This window comes from Homo sapiens, chromosome 2 (genome assembly GCF_000001405.40).
Source record: "Homo sapiens chromosome 2, GRCh38.p14 Primary Assembly".
NCBI lineage: Eukaryota > Metazoa > Chordata > Mammalia > Primates > Hominidae > Homo > Homo sapiens.
In genome coordinates this window covers 17,726,326-17,744,720 of record NC_000002.12, presented here as the reverse complement: position 1 = coordinate 17,744,720, position 18,395 = coordinate 17,726,326, and the positions used below count along the sequence as shown (strand labels likewise).

Below are 18,395 nucleotides of genomic sequence, written 5' to 3'. Positions count from 1 at the left end.
ACAAAAAAACTGACAGCTAACATTATACTTAATGGTAAAACATTGGATACTTTTCCCCAAAGATCAGGAAGAAGACAAAGGTGTTTGCTTCTGTCACTTATTCAACATAGTGCTAGAAAATCTAGCATTGCAAATAAATCAAGGAAACAGAAGGTATAGAGTTTGGAAAGGAAAAACACACACAAAAACTGTCTCTGTTTGCAGATTATGTAGATAATCCATTTGTTCATTATCTACATAAAAAATCTCAAGGAATCTACAAAAAACTCTTAAAATGAATAAATACATTCAGCAAAGTTATAGGATAAGGTATTTTTAAAATGCTTTACTTTTATATACTGGCGTTGAACACATGGACGTTAAAATTCAAAATACCATTTTCAATCACTCAAAAAAAATGAACCACTTTGGGACGATGCAAATTAAAACAACATTGAGATACCAACACACCTGATAAAATGGCAATAGTTCAAACCACTGAGAGCACCAAATGCTGACAAGAATGTGGAGCAACAGGAACTCTCATTCATTACTGGTGAGAATGTCCAGCCACTTTGGAACACACTTTGGCAGTTTCTTACAAAACCAAACATCCTCTTACCATACAGTCCAGCAGTTGAATTCCTTAGTATTTACCCAAAGGAGTTGAAAACTTACGTCCACATGAAAACCTGTGCATTCATGTTTATAACAGCTTTATTCATAATTACCAAAACTTGGAGGCAACCAAAATGTCCTTCAGTAGATAAATGGATAAATAAACTCTGGTATATCCAGACGATGCACTATTAGTATTAAGCTATTAAGCCATGAAAAGACATAGAGGAACCTTAAACGTATATTACTAAGTGACAGAAGCCAGTCAGAAAAGGCTACATGCTGTATGATTCCAACTATATGACGTTCTGAAAAAGGCATAACTATGGAGAGTTAAAAATCAGTGGTTGGTTGCTAGGGGTTGAGGAAAGGGAGGGATGAATAGGTTGAGCACCGGATTTTTAGCGCAGTAAAAATAACTGTACTATACTAAAATGGTGGAAACATGTCATTATAAATTTGTTCAAATCTGTAGAATGTACAATAATATCGAGTGAACCCTAGTACAGACTGTGGACTTGGGTTGATAATGATATGTTAGTGTGGGTTCATCATCTGTAACACATGTACCACGCTGATAGTGGATGTTGATAATGAGGGAGACTATGCATGTGTGGGGGTAGGGGGTATATAGGATATTTTTGTATCTTCCTCTCAATTTTGCTGTGAACCTAAAACTACTCTTAAAAAATTAAGTATTAAAAAATGAAATAGTTAGGTCTAAAGCTAGCAAAATATGTACAGGACTAATATGGTGAAAATTATACTGTGCTGATGAAGGGAATCAAAGAATACCTGAATAAATGGAGACACATACTTACTCACGGATTAGACAGCTCAATATAGAAATTATGTCAGTTCTCCCCCAAAATGATATGTAAATTTAAATGCAGTTCTATTAAAACCTCAGCAAGATATTTTGTAGGTATATATTTTATTCTAAAATTTAGGTGAAAAGGCAAAGGAACTAGTAAATATACCTTGGTACATCCATACCATAAAATATAGCTTAACAATAAAAAGGAGCGAACTACCGATATAGGCAACAACAGAGAATTAGGCTGAGTGGAAAAAGCCAGTCCCAAGAGGCTACATTTTGTCTGTTTCCATTTATTTAACATTTTAGAAAGTGCAAAGTTAATAGAAATGAACAGATTGTGGGTCAGGGTTAAGGTGGGATGTGGATGTGACTATAAAAGGGCAACATGTGGGATCCTGGTGATGATGGAAATATTCTGTATTTTGACTATGTCAATGTCAGTATCTTGGTTGTGATATTGTACTTTAGCTCTGCAAGATGTTACAATGGGCGGAAACTGAGTAAAGGGTACACAGGATCTCATTAAGGATTGCACGTGAATCTGTTATTATTTAAAAATAAAAATATTTTAAAAATTCGTCAACCATGATTTCCAGTGTTCTACTCATACAAGGATGTAAATGTTTTCTACTGTTTAGTAAGACGTATGTCCAGAAGAAGAGAGCCGGGGAGTTTTTAAAGAAATCTTTAAAATACCTGGAGACTTGAAAATGGTCTTCAAAAAAATTAGAAGACCTGATAAAATAAGGCTGATTTGTTCTGGTACTTAGATAACTACAAAGTGCAAGTGACTACCATTTGCCAAACTCTTGGTTAAACCATTTGTAAACCTTATCTAACTTAATGCTGATATAATATTTATAGTATAGGAAATATTATTCCTGTTTTACGGACTTGGAAACTGTATATGCTTTATACATTGCCAAAAGTCACACAGTTGCCATAATAAGTGACAAAGTCACAAGAAGAGCAGGCTTTACTTTTTAAGAACATGTACTCTGCTCTCTGAATTGAAATAGTGAATGTCAGATAGTGAATTCAGTGTTGAATGCATGGCTGGATCGTCATCTTTCAGAGGTATTCTAAATAAAGTATATAGGAAGTTTTACTATGCCAATTGGATAGCAGTTCTCAACAAAGGGGATTCTTCTCTCTCCCTTTTGCGCCCCCCAGGGACATTTAGCAATGTCTGGACATATTTTTGGTTGTCACAACTTAGGGGCAGGTGTGTGTTGCCGGCATCTAGTGGGTAGAGGCTGGGGATGCCACTAAACATTCTGCAATGCACAAGACAAACCCCCTCCACTAACAAAAAATTATCAGACCCAAAGTGTCATTGCCAATATTAAGAAACCTGGTGATATACTTTTAAATCCTTTAAAGATTTTAGAATGAGTACTGACTCATAGAAGGTTCCCATTTAATTTCATCTTATTCATTGAAGTTACCATTATTCACTTTCTGTAAATTTTTTCATTGGTGATGGTGCTAGTCTTTCTGATGCCAACAATGCTTGAATGGTTATAATGAGTGAATTAGATTGACCATTTTCTCCCATTGTTTTTTATTAATAGACTGCAGCAGAAGTTGGAATAATTGAGAGTATTCACCTAAAAAACTTCATGTGTCATTCAATGCTTGGACCTTTTAAGTTTGGTTCTAATGTCAACTTTGTTGTTGGCAACAATGGAAGTAAGTGTTTTTTCCCTTCTCGTTTGACTTTGAGCAGTACTTTGAGATTAGAGTACGTTAACTTTTTGAAATAGGTGACTATTAGTGCTAATAAGTATTTTTTCTATAGATGTATAACTTGTGGTTATGAATATTCTTGGTATTTGCTGCCAGTGTACACTTAAAGAAAATACTGAGTTAACTCTAGGTACATTACTTAAGCAATAGGGATAAACATTTCCTGCTTATGTTTTTAATCTATTTATCTTGGAATCTGTACCATAGAAGGGTAGACAAGCGATCCTCATTGCAATTGAGGCAGCCTTGTGTCTTGCCTTACTAAACATTGTAAGAGCACAAATGAAGTGACTTGGCAATCCAAACATAAAAGTAGTTCTCACCAGGTGGCCAATAAATGCTTTAAGAGGAGGTGGTATTTGTGCCAGTTCTTGAATGAAAATTATCGATTATTTAGGTCTTATTGGCAAGAAGAAGCTGAGATGTTCCAGGCAAAGATTGCTCATTAGCTAAGGTTTGGAGGAGTAGAGGTAGATGTGTATAGGAACTGGTGAATAACCTTATATGGTTTATTGTATGGTGGACAGTGGAGAGAGGCAGAAGCTGACTGTGGAGAGTCATGCTCTAGGCAATATTGTTGAGGATCTTGAATGTCATGTTAAAGAGTTTGAAGTTTTATTTTGAAGACAGTGGGGAACCAATTAGAGTTTTGTTTGTTGTTTGGTGGTTTGGGGTTTTTTTTGTTTTTTTGTTTTTTGTTTTTTTGAGACAGAGTCTCCCTCTATCGCCCAGGTTGGAGTGCAGTGGTGCGATCTCGGCTCAATGCAACCTCTGCCTCCCAGGTTCAAGCGATTCTCCTGTTTCAGCCTTGTGAGTAACTGGGATTAGCGTGCCTTCAAGCCTGGCTAATTTTTGTATTTTTAGTAGAGACGGGGTTTCACCATGTTGGCCAGGCTGATCTCAAACTCCTGAGCTCAAGTGATCCGCCCACCTCGGCTTCGCAGAGTGCTGGGATTAACAGGTGTGAGCCACTGCGCCCGGCCACAATTAAAGTTTTTGAGTAAAGGAATGGCATGGCCACAATTCTTGAAACAAACTGACCACATTGTGGACAATGGATTAGAAGGGGAAAAATACAGAAGGCAGAAAGTTTCTGGGCAGTTCTGTGGTAGGCCTGCCAAGAATGAGGTGTTGGCTGCTGGGCTGAGAAGGTACACAGGGAGAGGAGGCTTGCCAGAGTCTACCAACTGGTGACAATGCTAGAATAGGAAGCTAGGTTATGTGTAGCTCTGCAGTCCCTTTTGTTGTTTTTCTTACTTTATCATTCAGTCAGGAAGAAAGTGTCTCTAGGAGAAACAGATGGACAAGGGGATCACTGTTTTAGAGGGGTCACATGGGACAAGAAATAAATACTGATGGGTTCTGAAGTTAGGTCTTTTAACTTTTGAAACAATGATTTTTATTAATAAAACCTAATAGAAGAGGAAATAATGCAAATAGTGGAGGCAGTGCATTTGGTAATGAAGAAAAGAGAGTTAGAATAGGAACTTTACAGGCATTCCAGGAAATAAATTGGGTTAATCAGTGGTGTGCGTTAGTTACTTTGTGTTACTTTGCGGAAGATAATGGGCTAATAATAGTTGATTGGATTGGTTGAATGGAGTTCAGAAAATGGTTACCATATTCTGTGTGTGTGTGTGTGTGTGTGTGTGTGTGTGTGTGTGTGTGTGTGTGTTTACCATATTCTCTGTGTGTGTGTGTGTGTGTGTCTGTGTGTGTGTGTGTGTGTGTGTTTAAAGAGAAAGGATCTCTCTCTCCGGGTCACCCAGGCTGGACTACACTGGTGTGATCATAGCTCATTGCAGCCTTGAACTCCTGGGCTCAAGCTATCCTCTCGCCTCAGCTTTGAAGGTAGCTAGGACCACAGGCACATGCCACTATGCCTTCCTAATTTATTTATTTATTTTTTTGAGACAGAGTCTTGCTTTATTGCCCAGGCTGGAGTGCAGTGGTGCTATCTTGGCTCACTATAACCTCTACCTCCCAGGTTCAAGTAATCCTCCCACCTTAGCCTCCCAAATAGCTGGGATTACAAGTGTGCACCACCACTCCCAGCTACTTTTTGTATTTTTAGTAGAAATGGGGTTTCACTATGTTGGCCAGACTGGTCTCGAACCCCTGGCCTCAAGTGATCCACCTGCCTTGGCCTTCCGAAGTGCTGTGATTACAGGCGTGAACCACTGTGCCCGGCCAGCCTGCTTAATTTTATTTTTTGTAGTGACCAGGTGTTTCTCTGTTGCTCAGGCTGGTCTCTCTGGTCTCAGATGAGCCTCCCATCTCAGCCTCCCAAAACGCTGGGATTACAGGTATGAGCCACCATACCTAGCCCTCAGCTTGTAATATTTTAGATCTGTTAGGGTATAAAGAAGTACACTTCTCAAAGAGCTAGAAAATGAATAATATTCAAGTTACAAATAATAATTGTCAAAATATTATATAAAAACATGTATATGACTTTGCTGATTTTTTTCTACTTAAGTTCATTCATTCAACAAATAATGCAAGTACTTATTATGTGCTAATATTAGGGATACAGTATTGAATGAAAGAGACAATATTCCTGTCCACATGGAGCTTACTTTTGAGGGATGTTAACAGTGGTTTCTGGCTGGGCCCAGTGGCTCACATCTATAATCACAGCGCTTTGAGAGGCTAAGGCAGGAGGATCGCTTGAGAACCAGGAATTTGAGACCACCCTGGGCAACATACCAACACTGTGTCTCTACAAAAAAAAATTAGCCGGGCATAGTGATGTGTGCCTGTAATCCCGGCTACTGAGGAGGCTGAGGCAGGAGGATAGCTTGAGCCCAGGAGTCCGAGGTTACAGTGAGCAATGATTGTGCCAATAGAATGTCATAAAAATTAGATGAATTAATAATATATGTGTAAATAGAGGGATGATTCATTTATTAGGTTGATAGGCCAAGGTGGTACAATGAAAAGGTTGGAAAGGTGTCACAACAATTTTTACCATTTTCTTTTTAGTGGCAACAATTTGATTCCTGAAATGTACTATTTTTTTTGCTAATAATGGCAGTTCAATTTTTCCTTACATATATAACTTTTTTTTTAAGTTGTTGCTTTGCACGGGAAGAAAATTAGAGTTGAATTTTAACATTTTATTTTAAAGTGAGTCTCATTCATAAATCTTTTTGCATTACATGGTAGGAGTCAGCTTTTTCCTTTTTCTTTTAATGAATGTGATTTCTTCAACATCTGTTTCTTTAGGTGGGAAGAGTGCAGTACTCACAGCTCTCATAGTCGGTCTTGGTGGAAGAGCAGTTGCTACTAATAGAGGATCCTCTTTAAAAGGTTTTGTGAAAGATGGACAGAAGTAAGTGTTTGCTTTCTACCATCTATTTTCAATTCTTTAGTAAGAAAACAGTTACTTTAGATTCCCAGTTCACATAGACATGACTGGAAATGAAGTGCCTTCCCAGAACAGGAGCAGAGGTGTCCTATTTTTTCATTCCTTTCTTTTACCCCTTGTTGCTGGCATGGCTCACTGTTGCCTGTTACCCTCTCAAGACAGATAGCTTGTGTAACCTATTGCCCTGTGCCTGGCCATCTTGCTTCTGTTACTTGCTGAAAGAAATGGCTGTGATAAATCTATGTACCCTGTTTAACAAGTGTTTATAAACCTTGCTAATTCCTGACTATTGACCCAAACCCAGCATCAGTGAGTCCACATTGATACGATAGTAGGGAGAGCAAAATCAGTGACCAGCCAAAGTGTCCCTGCACAAAACTTCTGTCTTTAGCTCTCTAAGAAGTCCCAAAATAAGAATTCTACTTTTTGACTCTGATTTTATACCCTTTAACCAAGTAGGTTGCCAGTGAGTTTAATTTGAGGACCACAATGACAGATCTGTTTTTAGTCTATCCCAGACCCTTGGTGAATAGTCATATCACTACTCTCTTTGGCTTTACATTTATATTTCTTTTTGTCATAGGTTGCCATCACATAGCTATATGTGAATTGTCCAGTTTGCATCATCATGGACTCACTGCTTTTTGTCCACTAGCTGTTCTGTCTTCAGGCTTATCTCTTCATTCTTTTCCATACTGCCCCAGATACCTCTGAAGGGATCTTTGTTTTTCATAACAGCAAAATGCCCCAAATGCTGTCATACATCTTCTAGCATGAGGCTACTCCCATTCCTTCTTCTCATGCCCAGTGCGGAGAACTTTTGAAACTTTCATAATTAACACTAATATCTTTTTTCTCATTCAGTAGACTTTTCCTTCTGCTCAGTGTTATATCCATTTACCTTCTATTTTATTACTAAAGAATAGAACAAAGACAGGATGTGAATCAGGCCTGCAAATTTCTTATGTATTCCTCAGAAACCTTAGGAATCTTAACCTTAAGCCAAGATTCCAAATTGACTCAAAAAAAAGGAGAAAAGATACACAGAAGATTATTTCCCATGCCCTATGGCCTTGGGAAAAAACTATTTGATAACAATTTCCAGCATAGTTTCTGTCTCCACTTCATGGGGCCCCAGTCCAGCAAAGTCTTCCTCTCACCACCAACCAAAATGATGTCTGTAGCAAAAAATTAGTTATTTTAACACCTTTAAGTTAATAGTATCAACTCTATTTCAGTTCATTATATTTAAAAATTTTTTTTAATTATTATTATTTACTAGTCAATAGAATCCATGAGAAATTCTTTTTTTTGAGACAGAGTCTCACTCTGTCACCCAGGCTGAAGTGCAGTAGTACAGTCTTGGCTCACTACAACCTCTACCTCCCGGGTTCAAGTGATTCTCATGCCTCACCCTCCCAAGTAGCTGGGACTACAGCCATGCCACAACGCCTGGCTAATTTTTTTTTTTTTTTTTAGTAGCGAAGGGGCCTGGCCTCGAACTCCTGGGCTCAACTCCTGGGCTCAAGTGATCTACCTGCTTTGGCCTCCCAAAGTGCTGGAATTACAGGTGTGAGCCACCACACTCAGCCACAGTTCATTATACTTAACTATCCATTTCTTAGCTGTCCAAACAATCACCCAGTCTACTTGGCCAGATAGCACGTTGAATTTTCAGATACAGTCTTTAAGAAGAAATTATTTTTTATACACTGTTAAATGTTTTCTCAGTTAAATACTTTTTTTTCCCCCATTTGAGAAGTACTTAGACCAGGGTAGAAGCTTCTCTCTGAGACCTGTCCTCTGAATACTATTTAATAAAAAAAGACTAGCTTAAACAAATCACCGACTTCTAAGGACATGGCTGCCTGTAGAGTGAAATAGTTATATTTTATTTTTTCTTTTCCAGTACAAAATTGGGGGAAATATATTTTAAAACACAGTTAGTGACAGCTAGAAACTCTAACCTTAGCTCAGTCTTCTGTCTAAAAAACTAACGAAAAGCAGAGTTTTTCCACATCTTTATTGTTCTTATCTATCCCCTTCCTCATTGAAAACATTTGGCATTTATAAAATTTCCCTTGTTTTTATAGTCTCTGATTCTGTCATCACTTTTTTGCAGAATCAGCTTGTTGAGGTTTTTAGTTCTGCTCTTACTCTATTGCACATCTAAAGTCTATGAAGGAGTCTCACTTTGCCTGAAGAATGGTTGTCAGTGTGGTCCAGCACAAGTTTGAGGTAGTTCTAAGGACTCTATCCCTCCCTTCCCCCATCTCTAACATTATACTCGCCATTTGTGACTCTTGGGCTGTGGGCCTCCTTTCTTGGGATATTTCAACTCTCCTTGGAGATGCTTGCCTAATACTGTTAGAAGAAGCCAGAGAACTGAACCTTGAGACATTGCCTGGGACTCATCCTTCTAATTATCCACCAAGCCTTTGCAGTGACACAGGGACTGAATGAATCCTCCTAATATATCTCTTCACATGAAAACCTTTCTCAGTGACCCAAGGCCTCATGCCCTTTGCTATTTAGATTCTCTTTAAACATATACAGTTTACTGTTCCCTCCCTTGGCCTTCCTAATACCAACCCTGGTAGCCTTGGGGTCTTTGCAGTAGTCTAATTTTTGACATCAGCTGTGGCACAAGGGTTATAGAGGGACAAAAACTCATTCTCCTGTTTTATGTTCCTGATTTATTTAGTCAGGGATACAGAACTTATTACAGATGAGCTGGTGACCCAGAGAAGGAGCAGTTGTATCATCTTTTTATATGACTTTTCTTATTCCTTGTTCTCATTGATGTGCACTGCTGCCAGTTACTTCCGTGTAGATAGATTGTTCCTGAGTTGAGAAAGAAGCCAAATTCTTACTGTGGCACTGCTTGTTTGTGTTGTCATTCTGAAAAAAATCTCATAGATAGTCTCTCTTTTCACTCATTGGGCTCTATGGCTGTTGACCCAAATTGAGCATCAGCACAGACCATATCAGTGTAAAGGGGAAGACTGCAGAGCTAGTACCCAGCTCAGTTGTCTCTGTCTTCCTGCAGAAGTGGTTTTTTTTTTGTTTGTTTAGCAGTAATTATGAGGCTTTTTTATAAATGTTATTTTTTAGAAGTATTTTGCTTTCTTGTATTTATTAGATTCATATAGCAGGCCAGGCACTGTGGCTCACACTTGTAATCCTGGCACTTTCGAGCCCGAGTTGGGCGGATCACTTGAGGTCAGGAGTTCAAGACTAGCCTGGCCAACATGGCGAAACCCCGTCTCTACTAAAAATACAAAAATTAGCTGGATGTGGTGGTGGGTGCCTGTAATCTCAGCTATTGGGGAGGCTGAGGCAGGAGAATCATTTGAACCTGGGAGGCGGAGATTGCAGTGAGCCGAGATCATGCCACTGCACTCCAGCCTGGGCGACAGAGTGAGACTCTGTCTCAAAAAGAAAAAAAGAAAAGAAAATTTATATAGCAGTAGGATATCAGTGCTTCTGAAGTTCTCACTGTACTAAAGATAGTTTAAATACAAGGAGTAGCTAGGAATGAAGATAATAAAGTAGGTGTTTGGTAATCAAGAGAGGTGTTTGATAATTCAGAGAGCAAATATATGTAGTCATTTAAGAAATGTTTTCATGAGGTACTGTAACTTAATGCCAAGTAATCATACTAGCTAATGAAATAAAATATTCATTAGCTACATTATCAGAGGCCAGCCGCCCTTCCCCTCATACTTCAGTGGTTCTCAACCTTAACCGTTCATTAGAATCAACTTGGGGAGCTTTTAAAAAATCCCATTAATTGATTTTTCTGAGGCATAATCTGTCTTAATTAGGTAATATTGTTTTTATAGAAAAACCACACCAATTTATTCAAGGTAGCTCTAGGAAAGGATATTTACCATAAAGATGCAGGGATATATATTCATGAAACTGCAGAGAGGAAATACTGCGGGGTCTCTTGAGGGACCAGACTGAGACCCTGTAAGAACTGAGTCACTTCTCTCTCTGGGGCTTTCTTTTAATTGCATCTCTGGCTGTCTCTGTGTGTCTTGTCTCTGGACCTCTGTCTTCCTCTCCCTCCCATTGGTTTGTTCTGCAACTCTCCTCTGTGCACCTCCCTCACAATCCTAACTTAATTGGCTGTACTTCTGTGTGTGTGCACTATGCTCTCCTGTCTCTCCTTGTGAAAAGTGTACAGGTAAGTGAGTGTGTTTCTCTCCATCACTGTCTCAAGTATGTGTACTTCCTTATTTTTTGCTAATCTTTGTTGCTGTGTGTCTTTGCATGTGCAGGCATTTATAAGTCTTACTGTCCTAGTCTGTAGGTGTATGTGTATAAGGAAGTGATCTTATGTTTTCTGTCCCTCTGGTTCACTGCCAGTATCTGTGAGTATGTTATGTCTTTTTATTAGCCTGCCTAAGTGGTTTCCAAAGAGCTTATCTGTTCTATTCAGACTTTTCTATTTTCTTATCAGACTATAATGCCCCAAATTGGTTTCTCTAGGTCTAGAGGCTCCATAACTTTGTAGCTCCCAGGATTCACCATCTCTCGACTTCATCATGTCTTAATTTGATTTTTTAAAACCTTTTTATTTTGAAATAATTGTAGATTTACAGAAATGTTGCAAAGATAGTACAATTTTCTGTATATCCTTCACCCAATTTTCCTTAATGTAGATATCTTACGTAACTAAGATGCATTTATCAAAGCTATACAATTACCATTGGTACAATATCAACTAAACTACAGAATTCTGAAATTTTTTTAACCACATTTTCTTAGTTTGATTTTTTAAAGAAGAAAATCTGATTGCTTAGTTGGTAAAAAATTTCTATATTTAGCTCAATCCCAAGAGGATGGGATGGAAAATTATATCGTTGCTAAGCCCTTTCTGCTAGGGCACTTGTACAGAAAAGGATGGTGGAGCAACAGAGCAAACACTTCACTGTGTCTACTGTCTTAGCAGTAATTCACAATGAAGCTCATCTGGAGTATTTCTTCCTGCATTTCCCACAAATGGGAACAGTTTTAGAGTATGATTACAAATTCACAAAAGCAAGTTTGTTCTGTTAAAGGTTTCATTTAATTACCAATTAAAACACTTTTATATTAAGGGACTTTAGCATTTTGACAGATGCTCATATGAACCAGGTAAAATATCTGCTTTTATGTGTAAGAAAATTATATCTTTATTAATGTCCTTCATCAGCATCTTTGTTTTTCTACCAAGTCTTATTTTAACACAAGTTGGAGTACACAAATAAAGATTTTTTTTTTTACTCCTATAGATCTTAAAATATGCGTGGCTGTAAGTCCCTAAAACATCTTTAAAACTTTAAAAACTATAACAGAGCCTATTGGTTAGGCAGATTTATACTCATCATTTTATATGTGTGTTTAGCTGCATTGTACTATTTTAAAATATGTCTTTTTAATGCCAGTAAAGCTTTAAGAAATTTTGGGCTTTAGTTTCTTTTTTCTTTTTTTTTTTTGAGACCGAGTCTCTCTCTGTCGCCCAGGCTGGAGTGCAATGGCACGATCTCAGCTCACTGCAACCTCTGCCTCCTGGGTTCAAGCGATTCTCCTGGCTCAGCCTCCCGAGTAGCTGGGATTACAGGCATGCACTACCATGCCCGGCTAATTTTTGTATTTTTTGTAGAGATGGGGTTTCACCGTGTTGGCCAGGCTGGTGTCGAACTCCTGACCTCAAGTGATCCATCCACCTTGGCCTCGCAGAGTGCTGGGATTACAGGTGTGAGCCACTGTACCCTGCCTAGTTACACTTCTTGATATCAAATGGTTTTATTTTTTATTGCCAAGTAATTGAAAAATTAAAATTACCTTTTTTAATTCTAATCCCCTTTGAAAATGTTAACTACTTTACCATAATTCTTACTTCATCATTCTTTAAAGGCCTACTGTCAAGCATGATGCTTTATATAACTTACAGTAGTCAGGCAGTATAATTTTGATTACATGATTTTTATAGGAAAATGTATAACTTATCTACATGTCTTGAAACAACCGAAACTTAATGGTTTTTGTGCAGATGTGCTATTTCTATGATGGATAGAATAGTCAGTCAATTATTTTTTTGAAGCTTCACTTATTCTCAACTTTATTTTTTTGTTAGGCACAGTATCGTTAACGTTATGCTGTAGTGAACAATCAGTGTCAGCTGTTGATGTAAATCTAATTTGCAAATGAATTGGCCAAATTATTTGGTGGTTTTGAAAAATTTGAAAACTGTGGCAACCTAGTATTGTAATTACACTGTATCTTCATGTAACTTAGCTCAACCTCATTCTTTCAGCTCTGCAGATATCTCAATAACATTGAGGAACAGAGGAGATGATGCCTTTAAAGCCAGTGTGTATGGTAACTCTATACTTATACAGCAACACATCAGCATAGATGGAAGTCGATCTTATAAACTTAAAAGTGCAACAGGTTTGTTTTGATTCTCTTTTCATTTCTTATAAAATATTAGGAAATACTCAAAAAGAATTAGATGACTGCTGGTATTGATTGAACTATCTTCCTTGTAACATGATTGGTTGTGTGCATATATATATACACACACACACACACACGTGCATATGTTACACATGGTTGTTTTACCCCAGGATATTATAGCACCAAAAGCATGATTAGCAGAATTGGGGATTATTTGAAACAAGTTGTGCTATTTTGTTTTCACCTACAGACTTCCTATCACACCAGGGTTTTTATAGCATGTGGAAATAAATGGTTAGCAAAAGGTGCAAAATGACATAAAAGAAGAGGTGAGCATTTAGTTTTTAAAAAGAGATAGATAAGGAGCAAAATATGTTTAGCTGTGGGAACAAGATAAGCACCATTATTGCATGTGGGTACTTTTTCTTCCTCTGTACTTGTGCCATGTTCATTCATATTTGTACGTATTCAATGGTACCTTTCTTGATGATGCAATGAAAGCTAACTAATATTTATATTTTGTAAGTAACTATACATTTTTTCTGTGTTATGCCCTAGAAACAGTTTGGTTATTTCATATGTTTCTTATAACTAGGCTCCGTGGTTTCCACGAGGAAAGAAGAGCTGATTGCAATTCTTGATCATTTTAACATCCAGGTAATTGGTGAATTTGTGTTTCAGATTAATTCATACACCTTGTCATTTTTTTAGTGCGATTTCACTTGTGTAGAAAAAATTTAAATGGCCTCATATGAGTAAACTGACCACAGGAAGCATATGTGTAACTATTATCAATGAAGTTGTTTAAAATTTACTAATTCGGCCGGGTATGGTGGCTCACACCTGTAATCCCACCACTTTGGGAGACCAAGGCGGGTGGATCACCTGAGGTCAGGAGTTCAAGGCCAGCCTGGCCAACATGGTGAAACCCCATCTCTACTAAAAATACAAAAAAAAAAAAAAAATTAGCTGGGTGTGGTGGCGGGCGCCTGTAATCCTAGCTACTTGGGAGGCTGAGGCAGGAGAATCACTTGAACCCAGGAGGCAGAGGTTGCGGTGAGCCAAGATTGTGCCACTGCACTCCAGCCTGGGCAACAAGAGTGAAACTCCATCTCAAAAAAAAAAAAAAAAGAATTTATTAATTCAACACAGGACTGTCAATACATAATATAACACCTTTAATTTGATAGACCAGTCAAGAGCATTTAGTCTATACTGCTCTAGGCTAAAATTTATCTTAATAAGGATGTCAGGTTTCTTTGCTTTTTGCTGTCCTAGTCAAAATAGCATCATTGTTCCCTAAACTCAGTTGCTAAACTCCTTTTTTTTTTTTTTTCTGGATGAGTGTTTAGTTTCTAAAGTTGCTAAATTCTTAAAGAAAATTTATTCTAGAAAGATAAAGCATTTCTCTATTTTGGAGCTATTGATCACACTTGTAGGGGCCAAGGCTTAGTCCTTTCTGCTGAGATACTTTGGCTGAATTAATTGATAATAGGGTACATGTAGTTCTATAAACATTTACACAAGAATTACCTTTAGAAGACACCTAATCCAGGCTGTTTGTTTTGTAGATGAGAAACTGGGAGCCACAAAAAATAAATTTATACTTAAGGCTGTCTAGACGTGGTTACTGGTAGAACCTGGATTTGGGATCCAGGCATCCTGTTTCATTCTACTGTTCTATCCATTGTGCAATACTGCCTCGTTACAGAATTAAGAACACCAAGACTTGCCATCAAATAAAAAGAACAATTAGGGGTCTGGGTCTCTTTTCCAGTTTGGTTTAGAACAGAGGGTACAGAACTTTCTGTGATGGTGGAAGTGTCCTGTATCTATGCTATTCAGTGGGGTAACCACTAGCCACATGTGGTTCTTGACTAACTTGAAATTGTGACTAAGAAATTGAATTTTTAATGGTTTTTTTGTAAGTAGAAAAAGCCACACGTAGCAAATGTGCCTGCTGCATATCAGACAGTACAAGTTTAGGAAAAATAATTCTTAAAATCTAGAGAAAAGCAGGTACAGCAAATAAATTTCAGACTAGAATGCAGGACAATTTATTAGAATCAGGAAAACCAAAAGTTAGAGTTGAGGAATCATGGGTGTTGGGAGAATCTTGAGGGGCATTCAGTATACTGTATAAGTACTCTGTATTTACCCTGTGTAGAATCTCCACCAGGTTTTCTTGTGCAAGTGCTTGAAAGGATAATGGTGGGGTAATCACCTCTGTCCAAGGCTTCTTCCTTCTTCTGTGGACAGCTGTATTTATTAGAAAGTTTTCATTATGAGGAAAATTGAAAAAAGCCTATTTCTGTAAGCTCTCACTTCCTTGGGGAATGTAAAACATGTTATTCTCTGTTGAAATATTTAAAGATTCCTAGTCCTTTTCTTGCATGGTTTACTTAATGCATAACAAAAGATTCAGGTTCATTGTTTAAAATGCAGAAAGTCTAGAGCTGTGTGGAGCACTTGAAGAGTGGGTAGCTCAAATTGAGATATGCAGTAATGTGAAATACCCAGCAGATTTTGAAAACTTAATATAAAGGAATAACTTAGTTTTTTATATTGATTACATGTTACAATGATAATATTTTGGTTATATTTGATTAAAAATATGTTATTAAATTTCACCTATTTCTCTATATTTTTAGTGTGGCTACTAGTACATTTAAAATTGTTTGTGTGGGCTGGGTGCAGTGGCTCACATCTGTTATCCCCACACTTTGGGAGGCTGAGACGGGTGGATCACATGAGGTCAGGAGTTCAAGACCAGGCTGGCCAACATGGTGAAACCCTGTCTCTACAAAAAAACACAAAAATTAGGCAGGCATGGTGGCACATGCCTTTAGCCCCAGCTACTCAGGAGGCTGATGTGAGAGAATTGTTTGAACCCAGGAGGCAGAGGTTGCAGTGAGCTGAGATCACGCCACTGCACTCCAGCCTGGGTGACACAGCGAGACCCTGTTTCAAAAAAAAAAAAATTGTGTGTGACTTGGCGTATATTTTTCTTGGACATTGTTGGTCTAGCATAACCAGGAGGGAAGGGGATATTTAATATCTTTAAGTGTCTGATCATATTTGTCTTCTGTGCCTCCGTTTCTTATCCTCTTGCTGAAGTTTACCAGTTTTTGCTTTTTGCTTTTCTTAGGATTCTGACAGATAAAGCTACAACATTCTTTTTTTTTTTGGTTTGATTTTAGAGACTGGGTTTTGCCATGTTGCCCAGGCTAGTCTTGAACTCCTGGCCTCAAGTGATCCTCACACCTCGGCCTTGGCCTCCCAAAGTGCTGGCATGAGCCTTGGGACAGGGTCTCACTCTGTCGCCCAGGCTGGAATGCAGCAGCATGATCACGACTCCCTGCAACCTCCACCTCTCAGGCTCAAGTGATCCTCCACCTCAGCCTCCTGAGAGCTGGTACTACAGGCGGGTACCATTACACCCGGCTAATTTTTGTACTTTTTGTAGAGACGGGGTTTCACCATGTTGCCTAGGCTGGTCTTGAACTCCTGGACTCAAGCAGTCCACCTGCCTCAGCCTCCCAAAGTGCTGAGATTATAGGTATGAACCACTGTGCCTGGCCAAGATTCTTAAATAATCCCAAGAGGAGTATAACAAGTAGGAACTCCATTTCAAAAACAATGAAAAAGGTATAGAGAAATGAATATAAACTTCGGTGAAGCTTTTAATTGAAAGTTGATGTTAAGATGTTTGTTATTAGAGCTACTACTGCATTAGGTCTATTAAGAAGTCAGATGCAGTATGAAATGAAGAGCTGGGGGGGCTTTGTGAAAAAATATATGGCAGATGGAGTCTGGTCTATATAATAAGAAACATGTCACATGTAAAGTTTTGTTTATAACTACATAAATGTTTTTTATTATCTTGAAGAGAGGCCCAACATCGTACTTGAGAGAAATGTTTTAACCATTGGTATACCAACAAATTACACAATATTTATTTTGTAGACAGTGAACATGAAGGGTTTAAAGTGTTTTTCATTTATACAATAACCTTATGAAGATTATTTTTAACATGTAAACTGATTTGTTAGTAATTGAGTAATGACCCTGAATCTTTTTGAAAAAAGTTGTATTTTTTCTATACTTTTCCAATTGTACTTTGATATCTTAACTTGTTAGGTGTATTAGTCAGGGTTCTCTAGAGGAACAGAATTAATAGGAGATTTTACATATATGTGTGTGTGTGTATATATATATATATATATATAAAGAGGAGTTTTAAATATTAACTCACATGATCACAAGGTCCCACAATAGGCTGTCTGTAAGCTGAGGAGCAAGGAGAGCCAGTCCAAGTCCCAAAACTTGAAGAACTTGGAGTCTAATGTTTGAGAGCAGGAAGCATACAGTTTTGGAGAAAGATGTAGGTTGGGAGGCTAGGCCAGTCTAGTCTTTTCACGTTTTTTCCGCCTGCTTTATATTCCAACCACACTGGCAGCCAATTAGATGGTGCCCATCCAGATTAAGGATGGATCTGCCTTTCCCAGCCCACTGACTGAAATGTTAGTCTCCTTTGGCAATACCCTCGGGAACACACCCAGAATCAATACTTTGCATCCTTCAATCCAATCAGGTTTACACTCAGTAATAACCATCACGTTAGGCAAAGGTAGTTTCATTCAAGCAATGACTAGTTTCCAAAAGATAGAAATGACTTCATTATTTTCATTTGTTTTACAATATCCTCATGAAGGAATAATATGAAGAACTTCTGTAAGAAAAATAGACAATACTTGTTGTCATGATTCTCATTAGAAATAACTGAGTTGGACTGTGTTTAGTTGGAGTAACTGACTTATCCAAGGCTACATAGGAAGTTAGCAACAGAGCTCAAACAAGAACCCGAGGTGACTGACTCCTTACCATGCTAGGACTCTTCCCATTCTGCTGTCCCATGATTAACCAGTGGCATGAGGGTGATATTCTATACAGCAGGTAAGAAGTGAAAAACTTTATAATAAAAACACTTTTTCACAGGGTTCTTATGCTTGTGCCCTCATGTACTGGTAGAATATTGAATGTTAACTATACCATATATGTTGGTATAATGAAATTTTAAATTATTTTTCCTGCATTATACATTTCTAACTTTTTTTTAGTATTTTTATCCTAACGTTATAACCTTTGGCTATTGCTTGGCCTTCCTGATGGCACCATAGGTCACTTGTAATGTATGTTTCAGTTTTTACCTATCTTTAAAGCATTAAAGTAAAATATTCAAAAATGACTTTTTGTTTGTTTGAGGTGGATAATCCAGTTTCTGTTTTAACACAAGAAATGAGCAAGCAGTTCTTACAGTCTAAAAATGAAGGAGACAAATACAAAGTAAGTGGCACCAAAGTAAATATAAACCCATTTAAAAAGAATACCTTTAGGCATATTGTAAAC

The 18,395-nt window shown here is 37.8% G+C and overlaps 1 protein-coding gene across 16 annotated transcripts in view; it reads left to right on the top strand.

Moving 5' to 3' along the window:
* Positions 1 to 18,395, top strand: part of SMC6 (structural maintenance of chromosomes 6) — an 89,999-nt gene that overhangs the window by 9,090 nt on the left and 62,514 nt on the right. For 9 of the 16 annotated variants that reach the window (NM_024624.6, XM_017004913.3, NM_001142286.2 and 6 more), the window contains 5 exons: positions 2,992 to 3,109; positions 6,395 to 6,500; positions 12,844 to 12,980; positions 13,582 to 13,643; positions 18,252 to 18,332. In NM_024624.6, coding sequence (NP_078900.1) covers positions 2,992 to 3,109; positions 6,395 to 6,500; positions 12,844 to 12,980; positions 13,582 to 13,643; positions 18,252 to 18,332 — 504 coding nt within the window. The remainder of the gene's footprint in view (positions 1 to 2,991; positions 3,110 to 6,394; positions 6,501 to 12,843; positions 12,981 to 13,581; positions 13,644 to 18,251; positions 18,333 to 18,395) is intronic. The other 7 variants (XM_017004916.3, XM_011533108.4, XM_047445837.1 and 4 more) reach the window with 1 other exon arrangement.